This window comes from Homo sapiens, chromosome 4, assembly GCF_000001405.40.
Source record: "Homo sapiens chromosome 4, GRCh38.p14 Primary Assembly".
Lineage (NCBI taxonomy): Eukaryota > Metazoa > Chordata > Mammalia > Primates > Hominidae > Homo > Homo sapiens.
Genome location: NC_000004.12, coordinates 5699936 through 5719402, shown reverse-complemented (window position 1 = coordinate 5719402; position 19467 = coordinate 5699936). Strand labels below are relative to the sequence as shown.

The 19467-nt window shown below is 48.7% G+C and overlaps 2 protein-coding genes across 53 annotated transcripts in view, besides 10 other annotated features; one reads left to right on the top strand and one right to left on the bottom strand.

Moving 5' to 3' along the window:
* The window catches only part of EVC (EvC ciliary complex subunit 1), a 117857-nt gene extending 109655 nt beyond the window's left edge, over positions 1 to 8202 (bottom strand). For all 46 annotated transcript variants that reach the window (XM_047449774.1, XM_047449769.1, XM_047449778.1 and 43 more), the window contains exons 1-2: positions 7849 to 8202; positions 30 to 155 (exon numbers count right to left, since the gene is read on the bottom strand). In XM_047449774.1, coding sequence (XP_047305730.1) covers positions 30 to 155; positions 7849 to 8022 — 300 coding nt within the window. In that variant the 5' untranslated portion in view covers positions 8023 to 8202. The remainder of the gene's footprint in view (positions 1 to 29; positions 156 to 7848) is intronic.
* Positions 6559 to 6868: an enhancer, noted in NCBI's record as "active region_21243". NCBI's record gives its function as "activates an Ori minimal core promoter by ATAC-STARR-seq in GM12878 lymphoblastoid cells {active_cell/tissue: GM12878}" and the evidence as "EXISTENCE:reporter gene assay evidence [ECO:0000049][PMID:35858748]".
* Positions 7454 to 7523: an enhancer, noted in NCBI's record as "active region_21242". NCBI's record gives its function as "activates an Ori minimal core promoter by ATAC-STARR-seq in GM12878 lymphoblastoid cells {active_cell/tissue: GM12878}" and the evidence as "EXISTENCE:reporter gene assay evidence [ECO:0000049][PMID:35858748]".
* Positions 7994 to 8143: a silencer, noted in NCBI's record as "silent region_15223". NCBI's record gives its function as "represses an Ori minimal core promoter by ATAC-STARR-seq in GM12878 lymphoblastoid cells {active_cell/tissue: GM12878}" and the evidence as "EXISTENCE:reporter gene assay evidence [ECO:0000049][PMID:35858748]".
* Positions 8194 to 8243: a silencer, noted in NCBI's record as "silent region_15222". NCBI's record gives its function as "represses an Ori minimal core promoter by ATAC-STARR-seq in GM12878 lymphoblastoid cells {active_cell/tissue: GM12878}" and the evidence as "EXISTENCE:reporter gene assay evidence [ECO:0000049][PMID:35858748]".
* The window catches only part of EVC2 (EvC ciliary complex subunit 2), a 180538-nt gene continuing 170925 nt past the window's right edge, over positions 9855 to 19467 (top strand). For 3 of the 7 annotated variants that reach the window (NM_147127.5, XM_047449612.1, XM_017007738.2), the window contains exon 1: positions 10844 to 11117. In NM_147127.5, the coding sequence (NP_667338.3) occupies positions 10890 to 11117 (228 nt within the window). In that variant the 5' untranslated portion in view covers positions 10844 to 10889. The other 4 variants (XM_017007736.2, NM_001166136.2, XM_047449611.1 and 1 more) reach the window with 4 other exon arrangements.
* Positions 10285 to 10904: an enhancer, noted in NCBI's record as "H3K4me1 hESC enhancer chr4:5710226-5710845 (GRCh37/hg19 assembly coordinates)". NCBI's record gives its function as "activates a minimal SCP1, AML or CMV promoter by ChIP-STARR-seq in naive H9 embryonic stem cells {active_cell/tissue: H9 hESC(naive)}" and the evidence as "EXISTENCE:reporter gene assay evidence [ECO:0000049][PMID:30033119]".
* Positions 10285 to 11224: a biological region, named in NCBI's record as "H3K4me1 hESC enhancer GRCh37_chr4:5710226-5710845".
* Positions 10755 to 10804: a silencer, noted in NCBI's record as "silent region_15221". NCBI's record gives its function as "represses an Ori minimal core promoter by ATAC-STARR-seq in GM12878 lymphoblastoid cells {active_cell/tissue: GM12878}" and the evidence as "EXISTENCE:reporter gene assay evidence [ECO:0000049][PMID:35858748]".
* Positions 10845 to 11224: a silencer, noted in NCBI's record as "silent region_15220". NCBI's record gives its function as "represses an Ori minimal core promoter by ATAC-STARR-seq in GM12878 lymphoblastoid cells {active_cell/tissue: GM12878}" and the evidence as "EXISTENCE:reporter gene assay evidence [ECO:0000049][PMID:35858748]".
* Positions 15208 to 15257: an enhancer, noted in NCBI's record as "active region_21241". NCBI's record gives its function as "activates an Ori minimal core promoter by ATAC-STARR-seq in GM12878 lymphoblastoid cells {active_cell/tissue: GM12878}" and the evidence as "EXISTENCE:reporter gene assay evidence [ECO:0000049][PMID:35858748]".
* Positions 15318 to 15367: an enhancer, noted in NCBI's record as "active region_21240". NCBI's record gives its function as "activates an Ori minimal core promoter by ATAC-STARR-seq in GM12878 lymphoblastoid cells {active_cell/tissue: GM12878}" and the evidence as "EXISTENCE:reporter gene assay evidence [ECO:0000049][PMID:35858748]".

The following is a 19467-nucleotide window of genomic DNA, read 5'->3' as shown; positions in this document are numbered from 1 at the left end:
CCACAAACAAACATCAACACCAAGCTTACATCAACAGCTTCCTTGTCCTTCGACATCTGCACTTCTCTCTTCCTCCTCCTTGATGGGGAGCCAGTTTCCGAGGGGGTCTGCGCATTAGACTCCAAATTCTTGAGCAGATTTTGAGTGTCGTCTTTCTAAAACCCGAAGGTCAGGAGTTGGGGGTGGATAGAAACACAACATTGAGGTCAGTCGGCCTGGTCCCCACCGTGACTTTTGCCAGTCAACTCCCCCAGTCCAGCAGCCACTTCTGCTCGCCTCTGTGCTTCTCAAGCTTGGTCTTCTGTGTGTGACGCCTCCCACCCCACGTGGGGTCCGCTACATGTCCTTCAAGACTGCACAGGTCACCTTCCTGAGCGGTTCCCCTAAGGCCTCCAGGATGCCCCATTTCAGTGCACCCTCAGGACTTGAGGCAAGAGGCAGAGCAAAGCTCGTTCCATTTTTCTTCTAGGTTGGGGACCCCATTGGACTGGGAGCTCTTTGGATTTAACAACTAAGCATGAGAAATGGCACATGCATATAATTTTCCTGTTGATCTTGATCATTCTATTGAATGGTTTTTAAGACAATATGTTAGGTGACCTTAAGTTATAGAGTAGTTTCTATTCTGAACTACAATGAATGCTCATTATTTATGGATTCTGTATTTGCCAATTCCTGTACTTGCTAATATTTATTTAGAACCCCCAAACCAATGCTCATGGCGCTTTTACAGTTATTCACAAATACATGCAGAGCATGAACAATCTGAGTTGCCCAGCATGCACGTGCTCAGTTGAGATGGAACAAAGTAGCACTCTGCCTTCTTGTCTCTGCTCTCATGCTGTAAACAAACATCCTTTTCATACTCTAGTAGCACAGTTTTTGCATTTCTGTGCTTTTTCTCGGTGACTTTACTGTTTAAAATAACCACCAAACACAGTGCAGAAGTGCTGTCTAGTCTCCCGAAACACAAGAAAACTATGACATGCCCTCTGGAGAAATGGGTGTGTTACAGAAGCTTCATTCAGGTGTGAGTTACAGAGCTGATGTCTGTGAGTCCAATGTTAATAAATTAAAAATATCTATTAAATAAGATATCTTTAAACAGAAACATACATAAAACTATGCTATGTATTGACTGGTTAATGGAAATGTTGTGACCAGAGGCTTGTAGGAACCTAACCCTGTTTTCCCCCCAGGAACAACGGTTCAGTGTTCGCTAATGCTGTGTTCTCAGTGAGTTTACAGAACATAACTACCATGAATAAGGAGAGTAGACTATATTTAAAACTCTGTTATCCCAGACACTTCTCAACTTCCCCTTTAATCACTACCTGCTCATGAATATAATCTTTGCACTAAAGAAACATCACCAGTTTGTCACTGAGTTAATCAGCTACTATTATCGAGCATCTGCTTTGTGTCAGGCCTTGTTCTAGGTACTGGGAATAGAGTAACGAACAAAATACACAGCCTCTGCTTTTGTGGCATTGACATTGCAGTGAGAGAAGAAAGAGGCAAACAAATGAAAAAATACATAGCAATTCAGGGACAATCATGTCCTAGAGTAACAGTGGAGGGTGGGGGAATGAAGGATGATGGGAGACAAAGTCTCTTGGACAAAGCGGCATTTGAGAAGGAACTTAAAAGAAGTGAGGCCATGAGCCATTGAGATATCTCAGGGAGGAGCATTCTAGAGACAGAATAGCAAGTGCAAAGGCCTTGGAGGCAGGCCCATGCTGGGCATAGAGAGAAACCTGTGTAGATGCAGCAGTCTGTCGTGGGTCTTGGGGTGGATGATGAAGCCAGAGATTTGGGGGGTTGTTTACCAACCATAGCAGACCAGTACAAGGGTCCTGCAAAGAAGAACCCAGTCAGATAGTCCTACAGTAAAGACATTGAGGAAAAAATATATATATCCCACAGAGGGAGCATCAGCATCACTTGAAAATGTCTAGAGGGTCACTAGCCATTTGAGGACAGACTCTAATATGAAAGATAAAATCCAAAACAAACAAAAGGAAAAAGCAAGCAGGGAACGCACTACACAGGGAAAAAAAACTTTAAACAAATAAACAACTAAAATATTATCAGAGAGATCAGAGAAGGTATTCCATTCATAAAATAAGGACAGGATAGAACATTCTCAGAACAAAAAAATGACTCTTCAAAATTGAAAATATGAAAAACTCAATACAAGTATAAAGTTGAGAAACATCTCTCCAAAGATAATGTAAAAAAGACAAAGAGAATCGAAGTGAGAGAGAAAGACTAAGATTGGAAGCCCAATTCAACCTAAAAAAGTGATAGGAGTTCTTGGAAGAAGAAAACGTATAAAAGGAAAAGAATCATCAAAGAAATCAAGAAAATGATTCTCGATCAAAAGGACGTTCCAAATGCCTGGCACCGTGGATGACAAATGACTTTCACCAACACCATCGTGGTGCAATTTCATTTACTAGGAGCAAAGGTAAAGGTTCTTTAAGATTCTACAGAGGAACAAAAGGAAAAGAGGTTTCGTGTAAGGTATCAAGGATCAGAATAGAATCAGTTTTCTCAACAGCAACCATGGAAATTATGAGATGAAGCAGAGTCCCCCCTTTTTAAGGGCCTGCAAATCCCTTGCCCTAAGCCTGGAAATAAAGGAAAATCCTGACTTTCTTCAAGGGAAATTATCAACAACTTGATAAGCAAGAAGGTAATAGTCGCCTAAAACAATAGCCAAGGAAGTTAGAGTCAGGAGATGTTTGGTTTCCCTGCAGAAACTAAAGATAACATCTTAACATATGTCCCTGAGTTGTTTTTCAGAAACCTGGACCCCCATCCAATGGATCCACTCTGAGGATCCATGGCTGAGGTCCTCAGCTGCCCCTTATCTGAGATCTGAACTCTGAGCACCATTCTTTGTTCTAAAGCTCTTCCTGGGGAGCCCAGAGGAAGTCATGACCAGGAGCCTGAGCTAAGGTTCTTTTCTGCCGAACCTACATTTTAAAACAAAGCTTCTCTTCCTTCACAAAATTGCAAATCAGAAAATCTTTGAATCTACCTCTGACCTGCAAGCCTCCACTTCAAGATGTCTGGCCCTTTTAGGCCAAAACCAGTTGTCACCTTCATGTATTGATTTACAATTTTGCCTGTAACTTCTGCTTTCCTGAAATTTACCTCTACCTTTAAAAACCTCACCTGGAAGTCATCAGGGCAGTCAGGATTTGAGCATGAGCTGCCTAGTCCTCCTGGCTTGGTGCACTGTGAATAAACACCTCCCTTTTTACCACTATAAAACCTCAGTGTCGCTATCTGGTCTTACTGTGCCAGGTGAGTGGAACCCAGTTTGGTTCTACAACAGCTAGAAGACAATGGAGGCCGGGTACAGTAGCTCACGCCTGTAATCCCAGCACTCTGGGAGGCCGAGGCAGGTGGATCACGAGCTCAGGAGTTCGAGACCAGACTGGCCAACATGGTGAAACCCCATCTCTACTAAAAATACAAAAATTAGCTGGGCATGGTGGCGCATGCCTGTAGTCCCAGCTACTCAGGAGGCTGAGGCAGAAGAATTGCTTGAACCCAGGAAGTGGAGGTTGCAGTGAGCCGAGATTGCACTACTGCACTCCAGCCTGGGTGACAGAGCAAGACTCTATCTCAAAAAAAAAAAAAAAAAAAAAGACAATGGAAAAATGCCTTCGAAATTCTGGAGGAAAATTATTCCCAATCTAATTATTCTTACCAAATTAAGTATAAAGATAGAAGAATATATTTTCAGACATAGAAGTTCTCAAAAGAGTTGCATCCATCCCTTTTTGAAAAAGCTACTGAAGGATGTGCTCCAGGCATGCAATGAAATTACCTAACAAAAGGGGAGTGCCAGGGAATCCCTGAAACAGGATTCAACCCAGAAGAGACGTGAGAAACTCCCAGCATGATGAGTAGCTGCTTCTCAAACTTTAAGAACATGTAAATCACCAGGAGGGCTTATTAAACACAGCTTGCTGGACTCATCCCTAGAGATTCTCCTTCAGTGAGTCTGGGGTAGAGCCCAAGAATATGCATTTCTATCAAGCTCCCCAAGATATTGATGCTGCTGGTCTGGTCCACACTTTAGAGAGCTGTCTAGAGAATAACCAGCTCAAACTAGAGCTTGTCAGAATGTTTCTGGGAGAGATATTTTTCTCAAGAAGATAAAATGGATCAAATATCTAATGCATTCAAATGTCTTGAACACAAACGCACATATGTGGGGGAGAGTTAAATGAATGATAAGTACACAGAATCTAAGCAAATGAAAAAACCAAGGCCAGATGTGGTGGCTCACACCTGTGATCTTGGCACTTTGGGAGGTGAAAGCAGGAAGACTGCTTGAGCCCAGGAGTTTGAGACCAGCCTGGGCAACATGGCAAAACTCTAACTCTACAGAAAATAGAAAAAAAAAAAAAATTAGCCAGGCATGGTGGTGCAAGCCTGTAGTCCCAGCTACTTGGGAGGCTGAGGCGGGAGGATCACCTGAGCCCAAGAGGTCAAAGCTACTGTGAACTGTGATCATGCCACTGAACTCCAGCCTGGGCAATCAAGTGAGACCCTATCTCAAACAAAACAAAAAACAAACAAAAAACAAAAAAAGAGAATAGCTATTAATTTCAGGAAAAACAAAATGTTGTGCAAGAAAAGAAGGTATTCATGACCACAACTGATCCTTAACTTGCAGTAGATAATGTTTGTAGAATTGTAATAATGGAAACACTGAATACAAATTTAACCAAATTCCCCTATAACCTCCGTATTGAGAGTGTGGTGGTGGTGTTGGGAAGAGTGGACATTTTATGGAGGAAGGGAGGCAACAGAGCTAAGTCCTCTTCCTTTCCACAGTGGAGGGTCAACGGCTATTGCACGCAGCCAAAAAAAAAAAAAAAAAATGCAAGCAGCAGCAATATAGGCACATTATTTAGAAATGGGAAGTAAATTCCCAAAATAATCAGCTGAAAGAGTTAACAAGGCCACTGTTGAGAAGTAGAAAATGGGTGGGGCTATTGCTCCTTTTGAACTAATACTTTAAATTATGTGCATGAACAACTTTGATGTAAATAAAACAGGTTTAATGATGAAATAAGTTAAAATAACAAAATAAAACAAAAACAGCAAAAGGAAAGCAATGCAAGATAAAATTGTGACTTGGAACAGAGGAGGAGAACAAACAGTGCCTACAAAGCAGGGAAGTACCTGATCTAGCGTGGAAGGTTAAGGCTTCCCTAGTTAAGAAGGTGATCTCTCTGGGTCCTGAGGGCTGAGCAGGATAGAGTCTAAGAAAGGACCGCGCAGGCGGAGAGAACAGATGTGCAGAAGTGCAGAGGTGTACGGGGAACAGCGAGGTGTCTTGAGTGGCTGGAGAGCAGGATGAGGCAAGTGGCTGGGCACCTGTGCATCAGGGTAGGTGCTCAGGGGAAGGTAAGCCACTGTATGCACCATGCTAGAAAACTGGGCATTATCTTTATTTATTTATTTATTTTTTAGATGGAGTTTCATTCTTGTTGCCCAGGCTGGAGTGCAATGGCATGATCTTGGCTCACTGCAACCTCCACCTCCTGGGTTCAAGCGATTCTCTTGCCTTAGCCTCCCCAGTAGCTGGGATTACAGGCATGCACCACCACACCTGGCTAATTTTGTATTTTTAGTAGAGATAGGGTTTCTCTATGTTGGTCAGGCTGGTCTCTAATTTTTTTTTTTTTTTTTTTTTTGAGACGGAGCCTTGCTCTATCGCCCAGGCTGGAGTGCAATGGTGCGATCTTGGCTCACTGCAACCTCCGCCTCCCAGGTTCCAGCGATTCTCCTGCCTCAGCCTCCTGAGTAGCTGGGATTACAGGCTCCTGCCACTATGCCAGCTAATTTTTGTATTTTTAGTAGAGGCAGGGTTTCACCATATTGGCCAGGCTGGTCTCGAACTCCTGACCTCAGTTGAACAGCTCGCCTTGGCCTCCCAAAGTGCTGGGGTGACAGGCATGAGCCACAGTGCCCAGCCTGGGCATTATCTTTTGCAGGCAGCCAGGAGTCACTGGAGGTGTTTAATCAGGAGAATCATATTGTCTGACATACATTTTATAAATAAAAACTAGAGGGAGGAGACAGGAGGAAAAGAATCTCATTAGAAAGAAGGTTGTCGCAAGGATCACATCAAACTGTAACAAAATCCTATTAGTCCTACTTTGAGCCACAGACCCCTCCATGGCTGCCACCCTGGTCTGAGCCACCATCACCCTCAACTGACTAGCTGTGCAAACCCAGATGGCTTGGTTAATCCCGGTAAGCCTCAGCTGACTCAGCTAGCAAATGGGATACTAACCACCACCTCACCAGGTAGCAGATACTTAAGGCTCTAGCTTTGGGGTTCAAACCAACTAGGGTTGAAATTCAGTCCCACTGTTTACTCATCGTGGCACCCTGGACAAACACCCTTGCAGAGCATCCCCTGCCTCACTGTAAAGTGGGGATAATGGCAGTTCCTCCACCTCATGGGCTGGAGGATAAAGAACCAGATGTCTATAAACATTGCACAGGACACCCAGCCAAGTCTCTGTGTGTTACTTCCCTTTCTCTCTCCATGCAACAAGCCAGCATCTCTTAGTGTCTCTTAATCACCAGCAGGATCTGACAACCCCCAACTCACCTACGAGCATCTTGCATTATCTCAGTTTCAGCCCTCATCAGCTCTTTGCGGTGTAATGCTCCCCATGAGTCACCAAATTCCCCTATATTCTGAAAGAGCCTGTGCCTACATGGAAACCGCACAAGATCTGTCTCATCTTCCCACGGGCCAGAAATGGGGGTAGCAAGACCACGCCATCTTGTTTCTGATCGCGCAGACTTTACTCTCCTCCCACCCCAAAGAGGCAGAAGTTGCAAGGACCTAAAATAGTGGCCATACCACTATTCATGGAATGCCTGCTATATGCCAGGTGTTGCCATGCACAGCCAATTCCATGAGGGCCACTTGCATAGGAAGCATCCACTGGTCTCCTTCAGGCAGCCACCCCGACCCTCATCCATGAAGAACACAGTGGCTTTGGGGTTAGACACTTCTGTCACTTTAGTAAGTTGCTTAACCTCTCTGTGCCTCAGTTTCCTCATCTGCAAAGCAGAGACAAACTGTTGTGGAGATTCATTGAGATCATTTAGGGAGAGGGTCTAGTTCAGTGCCTGGTACACAGCACTTAATAAACGCTAGCATTGCCAGCGTCCCATCGCAGACTCCCCATGCGGTGTCATAACCGATAGTTTACTTGCAAACTTGCAATTCGTCCTTCTCCTTGAGGTTCACAGCCTCAAGGCAGGGTCTCTCCCGCTCATGAATGTCGTCCCTAGGCCAGTGACTGGCTGTAGAAGGTGCCTGAAAACTTTTACTGTGGGGTGAATGAAAAAATGAATGCCAATGTGGCAGCTGGGACTCAGGCCAGGCGACGTAACCCACACCGCAAGGATGGAAGAGGCAGAAGCAGGAATAGGCATTCAGGCGTGGGAGCCCCAGCCGTCCTTCTGTCCACCATGGCGAGCAGGGCCAGCGTCCTGTCCAAACCCTTGGTGCTGCAGATGAGGAGACCGAGGCGTGGCGCAGTTGGGCTGCTGTCAAGGATCACCCAACGGAGTGGGATGTAACAGGCACCGCAGGGGACCCCAGGCCAATGCCCTTTAGTCACGCCGCCACCTCCCTCCTGGAGCAGAAGGGGAACCCGACGCCTAAGCGGTTGCGTGCGAAGTTCCCAACCAGGCTCAAGGAGTCGCAGAGCCGGGGCTCCGGGCCCGCAGGACCCAGAAGCCACGCGCCCCGCGCTCCCCGCCCCGCCGCTGTCTGCTCGGCCGACCCACCTGGTGTCGCGTGCGCTGGCGGCCCGCGCGGCAGCCAAGCCAAAGGCCGAGGCCGAGGCCGAGCGCGGCGCCCAGCAGCACGGCGGGGGCCAGCAGGGCGGGCGCCGGCCGCAGCGCGTCCCGCCCCAGCAGCAGCCGCGCGTCGCTCTTGCAGGCCGCCCCGCCGCGGGCCATCCGGGGCGCTCAGGCTGCCGCCCCGCCGCATCCCGCCGCCTGCTGCACCGTCCCCGCCAGGGCGGCGACGCGGGACTTGGAGCCCGGGCGGGCCAGGGGCGCGGCCCGCTCCGCAGACTTTCTGGCCTGTGCAGTCTCCCGACTCCTGCTTCTCTCCCCTTCCCTGCTTCGCCGAGCCGGAGGGAGGAGCCTGGATCACCGCTCAAAACTTTCAGCCACCCCCGCCCCAGCCCTGCCCCTGCACTGAGCATGCCCAGAGACAGACGCGCCTCCCAGCCCCGGACCCTTCCGGAGGGGGGCCCGGTTTCCACCCCTTTAACTTTACTGAGGCTTAGAAGGCTCCTTTAAGTTTTTTGAGGCTTAGAATATGCTACGCATTTAGCTTAATGATCTCATTAACTTTCTCAATAACCCTCTGCGGTGGGTGCTCCGCCCATCCTCCTGATGAAGACGCTGGGATCAATGCAATTCCAACCCCCTGCCCTTGCCCCTAACCTCTACCCATCAACCTTCCCGGGAACACACCGCCCTCCACGCCTCTGAACTTGCTCACGCGAAGACTCCTGTTTTAATCTTATTTTGTCCCAGGGAAGGTCGAGACAATGGGTGGAGACACCGTTACACTCAGTCTCCACTAGGAGGATGGGTAAAGGGATCCTTACACCCAGACCCCACTGAGACGATGGGTAGAGAGACCCTTACACCTAGTCCCCACTAGGACCAAGGGTAGAGAGACCCTTACACCCACTCCCCACTGAGACAATGGATAAAGAGACCCTTACACCCGCTCCCCACTAGGACCAGGACACTGCACCATCCTTCATTTACTCAGCACTTGGAGAGAATCTGTTGTGTGTGTGTTGCAGGCTGGGGGATAGGCCAGCCACAAACCAGGCAGTGTCCAGGCTAGTGAGTATCTCACAGTTGTTTAGAGTGATAAAAAATTAAAGGAGTTCATCACTGTGTTTGCTTTAAACAAACATTTATGGGGTAGCTACTAGATGTTTGCTTTTGTCCTGGGTGCCTGGGTAAAGCACACATGCACATGCACGACTGCACACTTGCACTCAGGGGCACACACACACACACACCTACCCTGTGGAGCTTAATTCCCTGTGTGGGCCGGGCTAGGGGACACCATGGGGATCTGCTTCAGCAGAGGAGGGCTTTGTCCTTTCAGCCTAGATGTCCAGCTTGTTTCTAGTTTGTTTCATCATTTCCTCATGGCAAGATGGGAACTGTTATCCAAATTCTTCATCTTTTTTTAATAAATGAAGAAACTGACAGCTGGAGAGGAGAGGTGACTCATTTGCAATTAAGGAGTGGGGCAGAATTCTTGTCTCATTTACACCTGTGTCTGGCTTCAGGGCAAACTCTCTGCTATGTGGAGCTTCTTATATATTACCTTAGAAGCATCTCCAAGGTTCCTGGGGACATGTATGGGGGCAATAACTTGACGCTCTTGTTTTACATTTCCATGAATGCTTAGGCTTTAGTTTTTAAAATGTGGTGTTTGGGCCAGGTGTGGTTGCTCACGCCTGTAATCCCAGCACTTTGGGAGGCTCAAGTGGAGGATTGTCTGAGCCCAGGAGTTTAAGACCAGTCTTGGCAACATAGTGAGACCCTGACTCCATAAAAAATACTAAGGAGATTTTTTAAATGTAGGGTTATTTGCTTTTTACTTTATCATAAAGTTGTTGACTATTAAATTAACCTTTAAATGACTGACTGTCAAACAACTCCAACGGTCCAGCAACATGCTTGGCATTTAGCCTGTGGTCTTGTCACATGCCTGACAGCTGCCACGTACCCCCTGGTGTGGGGAACTTGGCTTATAAATTCTCAGCTTCTCGAACCCCATGGCCTTGTCCATGTTAGGTCAGGAAAGGCCTGTCCTTGGATGGTCTGGGTTATGGGGAGAGAGGCTGCCAGGGGCCAGGCTCGCTGGCCTGAGACTTTATAGACAGCCTAACAGCCTGCCCCGCAGGAAGGCTGGCGGGAGTGGAGCCCTCCCCCGTCAACAGGTGTCAGCTGTCACCCAGGACCTAGGCAGGGATGAGGAAGCACACAAAAGGCTCCACCAGTCCCCCTTTTTGTGTCTTTCTCCTCCTCCTCCTCCTGCGTCCCTTGGCAAAGCAAATCCCTGTCCCCTCGGAGAGTTCAGGGAGAGCTTGCTTAGGGCTGCGACTTCAGACACCAGCTCCCCTCTTTCTAGGTCCCCAGAGAGGTGGCCCAGCGGCTGGCCTGTTTCCCACTGGGAATGCGAGGGGCACCCGGGCCGGCCCAGGGCTGACCCACAGCAGGCTCGGGCAGTGGGTGCTCAGCTGGTCTGCACTGAACGCAACCGGAAGTGAGGGTCCTTTTCCTTCTCTGCGGCCACCCCCTCCTCCCCGAGCTTTCCTGAACCTTCTGGGTGCTCCAGGACTCCCGGCCCCGCGCTCCAAATGCTTCTCCGTTTTCTAAGCGGGGATGGGGAAACTCTGGATTCACATCCGTGTGTCAGGAAACCGTTCCCAGGGGAAGTGCGTCTGAGCTGAGGCTTACAGACCCAGGTAGGCGGTAGCGGAGGGGCCCTTGGGGTCCTGGTAACCTCGGGGAGCAGGGGAGTGACCCGCTCTGATTCGGTTTGGGCGCAAGCAAACCCAGGCCTGGCCGCCGGGCGCCTGGGCCGCGCCAACTCGCTCTCCCCCTCCCACGCCCGTCCGGCACCTCCTGGCCCGCCAAGCCCCAGATGCGGGTGTTTGTTCCAGAAAACTTTCGGCGGCGGCTCGCACTGAGCATGCTCGGCGGCGGGGCGGGCCTGGGGTCCGGAAGCTCCAGCGACTCGGCGGCACCCGCCGCTTTGAGGTAGCGGGTCCCGACAGGCGATGGACCCCTCGGGCTCCCGGGGGCGCCCCACGTGGGTGCTGGCCGGGGGTCTCCTGGCAGTGGCCCTGGCGCTGGGGGGCCGAGGCTGTCTCGGCGCCAGCTCACGTCCCCGCTGGCGCCCCCTCGGCGCGCAGCCACCCCGGGATCCCCAGGTGGCTCCTAGGTCTGGGCCCGGCCTGAGGATCCCTCCGGGGCGGAGCGGGGCGGGGCCCGAGAGCAGCACGCAGGTAAGGAGGGCCCGACCCCAGGCTCCGGTCTGACTGTAGTGGTTTGACTTTGTCTACACCGGCGGTGGCAGGGAGGACCCTTAGTATTTCGCAAAGAATGAGGAAGGGAGGGCAGGATCTGAATAGGGTGCTTCGCGGCCCTTAGGTGTATCCCGCTCACGGCCAGAAAGCTTCGAGGGAAACTGGAGACCTTCCTCGGGGTGTGGCAGCTGCCGGCTTGGACTTCACCAGCGACCCTGGTTCGAATCCTGCTCTCCATTTTACGAGCTTCGACCTAGGGCAGTTCACTCCTGTGCCCCAGTTTCCTGATCGTTGAAACGGGGCCGTCGCGGCGTCCACCCCAGAGGGTGGAAGTGGGTTAGATGAGCTCACATATGCAGAGCCCCTTGCAGAGGCCAGCACTGGGAAATTGCAGCGGTTTTTAAAAGTGGGGGCTCTTGGCTGGACTCTTAGGTGACTGAACTCTCCTGGCTGATGGATTTAGCCACTTCCTACTTCACCCTGGCCCTCCCTCTGTGGTCCTAAACTCGAAAGGCATGGATCCCTGGCTGTAGCCCTAGACTTGACCTCCCCCGACAAAGCTGGTCACCAGTCCTAGTGCCTTTTCCTCCAAATCAGCTCGGATGTCTGCCCCTCCTCACTCCCCACTGCCACTCCCTGGCTTCAGGTCCCACCACTTCACTTCCAGCCCTTGGTGATGGTTTTCCCACGTCTCCCATCCATTTTCCCCCAGACCTCTGGGGTGGTCTGTCCTGGTAGACATTCTGCCACTCCTGTCCCATGCTGGCACTCTTCTCTCCACCTTATTGCCCCTGACAGCACACCCAGGCTCCTATTCCCAGGACTGCCCTGGCCAATGGTCTGGCCCATTGATGCTGCCCTGAGGTCCTCCCACCTCTCTCCTAGGGTGGTGGGTCGTGTCCTGCTGTGTTCTCTACCCCAGGACACTTGCGACACTGGCAGAGGTTTAGTCTCTTAAAAGAGACCCTGCTCCCTTTCTGTCTTTAGGTTTTCACTGGAAAAACGCCATGTCAGTGTCCTGAGCTTTCAAAAGTCCAATGACAGAACATGTTCCCTGGGTCCTTTCACTTGCATCTGCCCTGTGAGATGGGAGTATCTGGCCCGTTTTGCAGGTGACAAAACCAAGGCTCAGGGAGCCGCGTCCCCAGGCCTGTCCTGTACTCTCTCTCTGGCCCCCGAGTTCAGAGCCTGCGTGCCTGGCCTCACCTGCTTTGCACAAGCTCTTCCTTCTGGGAAGCCAGTGTCAGAAATCCTGGTGCACATTGGCCTCTGTCAGCCACAGTGGTGTTGAGGGTGGTCCCTGCCAGAAGGGAGGGACGGTGCCTACTGGGAAGGGCCTGAAGCCATCTAGGACCATGGTGGGTGTAGAGTACCTCACCCTCAAGGGCAACCCCTGCCTTTGCAGGAATCTGGGAATGAGCACCTGTATTCAGGTGCCCTTGGCATCTTGAGCACGTCCCCTGGGCCCTGGCCCTGCCCACGCCCATCCCAGCTGTTGATGGGACCAGCCTTCTTCCGTCTCTCTGGGCCTGTCTTGCATAGCCCTTCTGCACACTGTACAGGAAAGAGCTCTGGCCATGTGTGTCCCTGCCTTGGCCACTCCCTCTTGTGGGGCCTGGGACAAGTCACAGCCCTCAGGGTCTCTGCTTCCTCTTCTGAGCAATGGTGTAAGGGCTGTTCCCAGAGCACAGTTCCCGAAGGCACAGGTTAGTTCTTCCTATTGTAATTATATGATGCCTTCATGTAATTACTTGATACCATCTATCCATCCATTCATTCAATATTATCTATGTATGTATGTATGTATGTATGTATGTATCTATCTATCTATCTATGTATCTATCTATCTATGTATCTATCTATCTATCTATGTATCTATCTATGTATCTATCTATGTATCTATCTATGTGTCTATCTATCTATGTATCTATCTATCTATCTATGTATCTATCTATCTATGTATCTATCTATATTTATTGCACCTTTGCTAAGTCCCATGCTGTGTGCAGGGGGCTGGGAGACCAATGCCTAATTGCACACAGTGATTGCTGTGAGGAGGAGGATGGGGAGCCGTGAGAGAGGGTGGAGGAAGGAGGTCATTTAGTCTGGAAGGTCAGTCAAGACTTGAAGGATGGGCAGGTTTAGCCAGGGAAGGAGTCAGGAGAGAACATCCCAAGTGGAGGAATCGTCATGGGTGTGGCCCGCATGTAGGAGGAGCTTGGCATATTCCAAGTCTCTGGCCCCCTGATGCTGGGACATCTCTTGGTGAGAACATTTACCACATTGTTTGGGCTGCTTGTCTGTTTCCTTTGCTGGACTGTGAGTTCCTGTGGGCAGGGATTTTACCTTTTTTAATTTCATCATTTGATGCCCACTGGGAATGCATTTTATTCCCCAGTGGTTCTTAAGGTGGGGCCCAGGGAATCCCTGGCGTCACTGAACCATTATAGGGGTCCATGGAGTCACAGCTATTTTCACAGTAATACTGAGGTATTACTTACTTTTTCTACTCATTTTCTCACAATTGTGCGATGGGGTTTTCCAAGGTGACAGGAAGTGTGATGTTGCAGCAGATTTAATGTACAAGCAGATTTGAGAATCCAGCTCCTTCCATTAACTCAGACATAGATGAGGTTTGCAAAAATGTAAAAAAATGCCATTCTTCTCACTTTTTTTATTTTAGAAAATAAAACAGTTTTAGTTTATTTAGTTTTCAAAAAAAAATGCTATTTATGTTAATATGCAATGGCATTGTTATTCCTATTTAAAATGAATTACTAGACACTTTAAAATATTCTCACCTTTAATTTAAAGAGAGTAAATGTTGATAAATATAATCAGCACAAACAAAAGTTTTTTGGAGTCTTCAATAATTGGAAAATGTGTAAAGGAGTCCCAAGACCAACATGTCTGAGAAATCAGTGCTCAGTAGCAAGCCTATCTGATGTCCCAAGAATTAGAGATGAAAGAAACCACCCAGACCCTTTGAAAGATAAGTGTCTATTTCAGAATGGGATCCTTTCATCATTTTCACCATTTCATTATGCTAATAGTATCATTTCGTTATTTTACTTGAAGTACCACACAACAGTAATTTAGGTTGGTTGTGATGCCAAGTTCAGTGGATTGGGTGTGTCCCAGATTTGTAGAAAAGAACAACAAAAAATCAGCCAGATATGATGTAACATTATCTGTTACACTGTGTAATTACTATAGCTTCAAAACTGCAGCCTTGGAATTCTGAGTTAAGGGAACTATTAGTCAAATAAGCTCACGCCTGTAATCCCAACACTTTGGGAGGCTAAGTCAGGAGGATCGCTTGAGGTCAGGAGTTCAAAAGCAGCCTGGGAAACATAGTGAGACCCCCATCTCTACAAAACATATATATATATATAGCTGTGTGTGATAGCACATGCCTGTATTCCCAGGTTTTCAGGAGGCTGAGGCAGGAAGATGGCTTGAAACCAGGAGTTCGAGGATGCAGTGAGCTATGATCTCACCACTGCACTCCAACCTGGATGGCAGAACAAGACCCTCTCTCAAACAACAACAACAACAAAACAAAACTTCCTGAGAGCTTGGTCAGGAAAGATGGAGATCATGAGTGTATCTGTGCTTCACTTGATCTTTAATGGCCGGAGCACCCCAGGACTCAGTGCTGGGTTCTCTTCTTCCTTCTGTCAGTACTCACACCCTTGGTGATCTATCCCCTGGCAGCTCCCGAATTTCCATCTCCAGCCAAGACCTTCTCTGAGCTCCACCGTGGATCTGCATGCCTACCTGACATGGCCCGTGGAGGCTCACAGGCACTCCACAACTCATGCACCAAGGCAGAACCGAAATCCTGCCCCTTGCCTCCCTTCCTGTCAGTGGTTCCTTTGTCTTTTTCTTGCTGGGCCCAGAGGCCTTGGCACCCTCCTTGCCTCCTCCCTCTCCCCAAGCCCCACATTTAGTCAGCATATCGCATGGGTTTCATTTTCAAAACACACCCACAATCAACACAGTTTTCACTCTCTTTACAAACACCATCTTCATCTGAATTGCCACCTTCTCTCTGGGATTATTGTGGAGCCGCCTGACTGACCTCCTTGCATCTCCCCTTGAGTACTTCTCTGTTCTCAACAGAGCAGCCAGAGTGTCCCATTTAAAATGGCTATTATGCCACTCATCACGGAGTAGCTCACGGTGGCTTCCCATTGTCCCCAGAGCAGAAACCACTCACTCGCCCTGCTCAGGCACCCTGGCCTCCTTGTGTTCCTTGAACACCCTGGGTGTGTTCCCACCTCAGGGCCCTTGCACGGGTCTTTCCTCTGCCTGAACTAATGCTCCTCCCCCTGATACCCTGACAGCCACTCTGTCACCCTGTTAAAGCCTTTCAACATAACCCCATTTAAAATGGCAACCCCCATTACTCTCTGTTCCTATTTCCTTCTTTATTTTGCTCCACTGTTCTTATCACCTTCTAATATACTATATATGGTATGTTACTGTTTTGTTTGTATAATATATATAGTATACTATGATTTTGCTTGTAATTTTCCTAAATAGTGTTCTGAGAGTAGAACTTTTGATGTCTCGTTTGTCAACGTATCCTCATTTTCAAAATAGCACATAGTAGGTGATCAAAAGTATTTGTTGAATGAATGAATGCAAGTGAAGTAACTGAGGTTGGCAGGAAGTGGTGAGGCAGTGGCTGAGGGATTGGAACCCGGGCTGAGAGTCTAGAAGTGTGAGTTCTGACCTCAGCTCTACTGTTTACTAGCTGTGGACACTTGAGCATTTCATGTGTCAACTTATAAATATTTATTGGGTACTCTTGATGCTTCTGTGCAGCTCCTGGGGATGTAGCACTCAACGTGCCTGAGTCTCTATTCTCCTGAAGTTGGTGCTCAGTCCAGCTTTCAGATTCACATTCCTCATCTACAAAGTGGCGATTTTATAGTTACTTCTTGGCATTATCAGAGATGATGATGATGGTGATGATAAGAACAGTAACAAGAGCGGTGATAATAATAGTTACAATGATATGCAGTAAGTCCTCACGGAACATCAATAGGTTCTTGGATACTTTGACTTTAAGCAAAAAGAAGCACTGCATGCTGTAGGAACTTAGCTCTTGTCTGTATTAACTAGCCTATGGTAAAATTGGTTTTGCTATACAGTATGCCATTTGGCTTAAAGTCACAGTTGCCATGAACCTATTGATGATGTTAAGTAAGGACTTACTGAATGGCAATACATAGTAATATGTAGTAATAATGGCAATAATAACAATTGTATATTTGCTGTGTATTTACTCTGTTGGTAAATACTCTGTTACTATGCTAAGCTTTACATTTATTTTCTGGTTTAATCTTTCAAAATTCCTTATGAAGAAGGTATAACATTCCCATTTTACAGATGAGGAAACTGAGGCCACAGTGATTCCAGGTGAGGTGAAGATGTCCACCCAGACTTGTCTAACCCAAAGCACTTGCTGTCGGTGTCTAGGCTCTACAAGAAAGTGCTTCATGAACCTGAACACAAGATTTCTGTGCGAATTTATCATCCCTTCTTCTTACAAAGAGAGAAGAGGCAATTACAACCATTTCCCAGATGGTCTAAAAGGGCACTGTCCACTACAGTAGCCATGTATGGCTAAACTTAAACATTTCATATGCTCAAATGGCCCCATCTGGCTAGTGGCTACCATATTGGACAGCTCAGATTCTAGACCATTTTCATCAATGCAGACCATTCTACTGGAAGTTGATCAGAAGGGGAGGAGGCAGTGGAGGGTTAGCAGAGACCAGGCCTCTGGGCCATTCTTTCGCAATGTCTATTGAGGGCCTTCTAGATGCCAGGCTCTGTCCTAAATGCTTGAAATATAACAGGATAAGGCAGACCAAGACCTGCCCCTGCTCTTGAGGAACCTGCATTCTTGGAGCAGGAAAAAGGCAGGAATCATGTTACTATGTGGTGTGTCCACTGGTGGTTGGGGCTGTAGAGATGTACACAGTGGGCAGAGTGGTCTGAGAGATGAGGGGCACTCATGATATGGACAGGATGGGCAGGGAAGGTGCTGTAAGGAGGTGACAGCTGAGCGGATCCCCGAATGGAGTGGGGGACGGGCAAGGCCTTGTTTCTGGCCAGGACTCCGACAGTTGTTCCGAGTAAGATGGGATGCTGTGGATGGGCTTTCAGCAAGAAAGTGACCCACTCTCATGTTTCCTTTCCAGGCACCCCCGTGGCAGGGGTGAGAATAGATGGCAGGCGGATGTGTGAGCAGGAAAGTGGCAAGCAGGCAGGCGGGAGGCCAGGGGGCTATGGAGGGGAGCTGGACTGGGGAGGTAATGGTGGGCTACTGAGAGGTTGCTGGATTGTGGATGTTTTTTCAAGGTAGAGCCAGTGGGGTTTACTGGGATTGGTTCTGGGTTGAGAGAGAGAAAGAGAAGAATCAAAGACAAATCCAAGGATTTTGGCCTGAGCCAATAGGAGAAAGGAGATGCCACTGGTTAATGTGCAGCAGCCTCAGGTTGGAAATCACTGCTGTTGAGTTCGACATGTCTCTTAGGCATTCAAGTCTGGATTTGAGGGGAGAAATATGAACTAGAGATTTACATGGGGGAATAGTCAGTGTATAAATGACCTTTAACATCTGAGGGCCTGGATGAGCTCACCTCAGGAGGAACTCTCGACTGGAAAGAGTGCCCTGGAGCAACCCCAGGACTTTTGACTAGGAGAGGAAAAGATCCAACAGAGGAGGCCGGACAACGTGTGGCCTCTGTAAAAGGGAACCAGGAATGTGACCCGAAGGTCAAGGGTGGAGAGCATTTCAGGAAGGGAGAAAGGGGCTCACCATGGTCGGCAGAATAATGGCTCCCCAAGATGCCCACGTCCAGACCCCTGGAACCTGTGGATATGTCAGGTTTCATGGCCATGGGAATTGACATTATACAAGGAATTCAGGTTGCTGATCAACTGATGTTAAAATAAGGAATATATTCAGGTTTATCTGATGGTTCCAGTGTAATAATCAGGGTCCGTAAAAGTGGAAGAAGCAGGCAGAGAAGAGATCAGAAGGAGATGTTTGAAGGAGGTCAGAGAGATGCAACGTGAGAAGGACTCAGCTACTGCTGCCTTTGACAATGGAGGAAGGGGCCATGAACTTAAGGAACGCAGCAGTCTCTGAAAGCTGGAAAAGGAGAGGAAATGGGTTTTCCCCTGGAGCCTCCAGAAAAGAGCACAGCCCTGCCAATACTTTGACTTTAGTCCATTGAGACCTGTGTCAGACTTCTGACTTCTAGAACTATCAGAGAATAAATGTGTATTAAGCCACTACATTTGCAGTGATGTGTACAGCAGCCACGGGAAGCTGCAATAAGCACATATCGAATGGTGCTGGTAAGTGTGTGCGATGAGGAGGACTGATCATTAAGTGGAACGTTGGAGTGGCTGTGGTGACCTCGACAGGAGCTGTGTCAGCTTGGAGAGAGGGATGACAGGGAGGGGCAGGCTGGCCATTGGAAGGTGCTATCGGCTGCACCTGGCATGGTGCCTATGGGAGCGGTTGCCCAGAGTGGCTGGAGTCCCCAGAGAGGTACCTCCCCAGGCTGGGGACTTTGGTGAGGACAAGAATCAGAGATGCCCAGAAACCAGCGAGACTGCCCTGGGAGGCCTGGCCCAGGGTTCTCATGGAGGTCAGCCTGGGTCCTTTGCTCCCTGGGAACCTGCCCCTTCCTCCTGAGTGGCAATGTCCACTGGTAAGGAGAGCTTTGTCCCTGGGTGAGGTCAGGGGCCAGGTCTGCTTTGCCTGACATGTGATCCCTAGCACAGTGCCTAACAAGCAGCAGGTGCTGGTTGAAAGAATGGATAGAAAGTTCCAGGGGACAGAGGTTGTACAAACGTACATTTGTGTGGAGTTCGGTGCACCATCCAATGGATGCTTTGCCATCCATTGGCAAATGTTCATATCAGAGACCACATGGATGTATTTGTTAAGTAATAGACTGTAATTTTTAGAAGAGTTTTAGATTTACAGAAAAATCGAGCACATAGCGCAGAAAGTTCACATATACCTCCTCTGCCCACACACATACATAGTGTCCCCTATTATTATTTCTTTATTTTTATTTTTATTTTTTTTGAGACGGAGTCTCGCTCTGTCACCCATACCTGAGTGCAGTGGCGCCATCTCCACTCACTGCAACCTCTGCCTCCTGGGTTCAAGTGATTCTCCTGCTTCAGCCTCCCAAGTAGCTGGGATTCAGGCACCCACCACCATGCCCAGCTAATTTGTGTATTTTTAGTAGAGGCAGGGTTTCACCATGTGGGCCAGACTGGTCTCGAA